The 1,827-nt window shown below is 36.7% G+C and overlaps 1 annotated feature.

Annotated features, from left to right (window-relative positions):
• Nucleotides 826-1,432: an enhancer, noted in NCBI's record as "OCT4-NANOG hESC enhancer chr5:161139938-161140544 (GRCh37/hg19 assembly coordinates)". NCBI's record gives its function as "activates a minimal SCP1, AML or CMV promoter by ChIP-STARR-seq in primed H9 embryonic stem cells {active_cell/tissue: H9 hESC(primed)}" and the evidence as "EXISTENCE:reporter gene assay evidence [ECO:0000049][PMID:30033119]".

The following is a 1,827-nucleotide window of genomic DNA, read 5'->3' on the forward strand; positions in this document are numbered from 1 at the left end:
CCAGTTAGAATGGCAATCATTAAAAAGTCAGGAAACAACAGGTGCTGGAGAGGATGTGGAGAAATAGGAACACTTTTACACTGTTGGTGGGACTGTAAACTAGTTCAACCATTGTGGAAGTCAGTGTGGTGATTCCTCAGGGATCTAGAACTAGAAATACCATTTGACCCAGCCATCCCATTACTGGGTATATACCCAAAGGACTATAAATCATGCTGCTATAAAGACACATGCACACGTATGTTTATTGCGGCACTATTCACAATAGCAAAGACTTGGAACCAACCCAAATGTCCAACAATGATAGACTGGATTAAGAAAATGTGGCACATATACACCACGGAATACTATGCAGCCATAAAAAAGGATGAGTTCATGTCCTTTGTAGGGACATGGATGAAATTGGAAATCATCATTCTCAGTAAACTATCGCAAGAACAAAAAACCAAACACCACATATTCTCACTCATAGGTGGGAATTGAACAGTGAGAACACATGGACACAGGAAGGGAACATCACACTCTGGGGACTGTTGTGGGGTGGGGGGAGAGGGGAGGGATAGCTTTAGGAGATACACCTAATGCTAAATGACGAGTTAATGGGTGCAGCACCCCAGCATGGCACATGTATACATATGTAACTAACCTGCACATTGTGCACATGTACCCTAAAACTTAAAGTATAATAATAAAATATATATATAAAAAAGCAAATATTTATATTCATATCAAGTGCAATCATTAAGTTTAAAAGAGAGCCTGCATAGACAGGGGCATGCTAAACACACGCAAACTTATCAAATATGATGACCATAAATTATGTATGTCATGCTCTCACAGCTTCATAGATTGATTTGCAATTCAATACACATCATATGCAAGGTTTTCTGTATTTCCCCTTTTTATAAACATATTTTCCATTATTTACCTGAAATGTAAACTTCATCCATTCATCATGAGCATTTATCATGTCCTAAATCTATACTGAAATTTAAAAGAAAAAAATAATATATACCCTATGACCTCAAGGAACTCAGTCTAGGGAAAAGAAACATCAGCAGATAATTAGAATCCAGGAAAAGAAGTGCTAATAGAGATATTTACAACACAATATGGCACTAATGAAGAAGACATTAGTAGTTGAGTGCCATACTCTGCTGGGGCGTTAAGCAACACAGGAAGAGAAAGTGATCTTTATCAAATTGGCTCACTCCCCAAACTTGTTCATTTTGTAGTTCTCAATGGAAACTATTGCAATAGAAGTTAACAGATACAGAGGCAGAGTAGGCATATCCACATGCCAATGCCTATGCACGCCTTATCCATGGCCCAGTCCAGAGGAGGAGAAAAAGAAGAGCAATGGAAAATTGAATCAAAGAACATTAGTAGCAGAAAAAAAAAAAAACAAAAAAAAACTCTTCTGGTAGGTCTGTGAAAAAAGAAGCACACCACTCTATTTCTTTTAAATCCCCTGTTCTTCCCTCTTTTATTCTCCATACAAGTATTTTGAATGTATTGCTTTGTTTATCACCAATGGTTTGACAAATTAGAAATAAATAACTCAATTATAAAACTTAAAAAGATGAGGGACTAGGTTTTGGCCAAGTCTATAGAGTTCTTCAGTGGTAGAGTCAATATTCAAACTCAGGTCTATCTGTCTCCAAATACTTTTGCTTAATCACTATACTACACAGCTTTAATGTATTGAAAAATGAGAGAGCAGGACCACATTATTACCAGGGTCATTTCCAGCTCTAGCACTCTATGAATCTATATATACCTAAAACCTCTAAAGAAAGTCTCAAACTTTATTTTTGCCCTATCCAT

This window comes from Homo sapiens, chromosome 5 (assembly GCF_000001405.40).
Source record: "Homo sapiens chromosome 5, GRCh38.p14 Primary Assembly".
Lineage (NCBI taxonomy): Eukaryota > Metazoa > Chordata > Mammalia > Primates > Hominidae > Homo > Homo sapiens.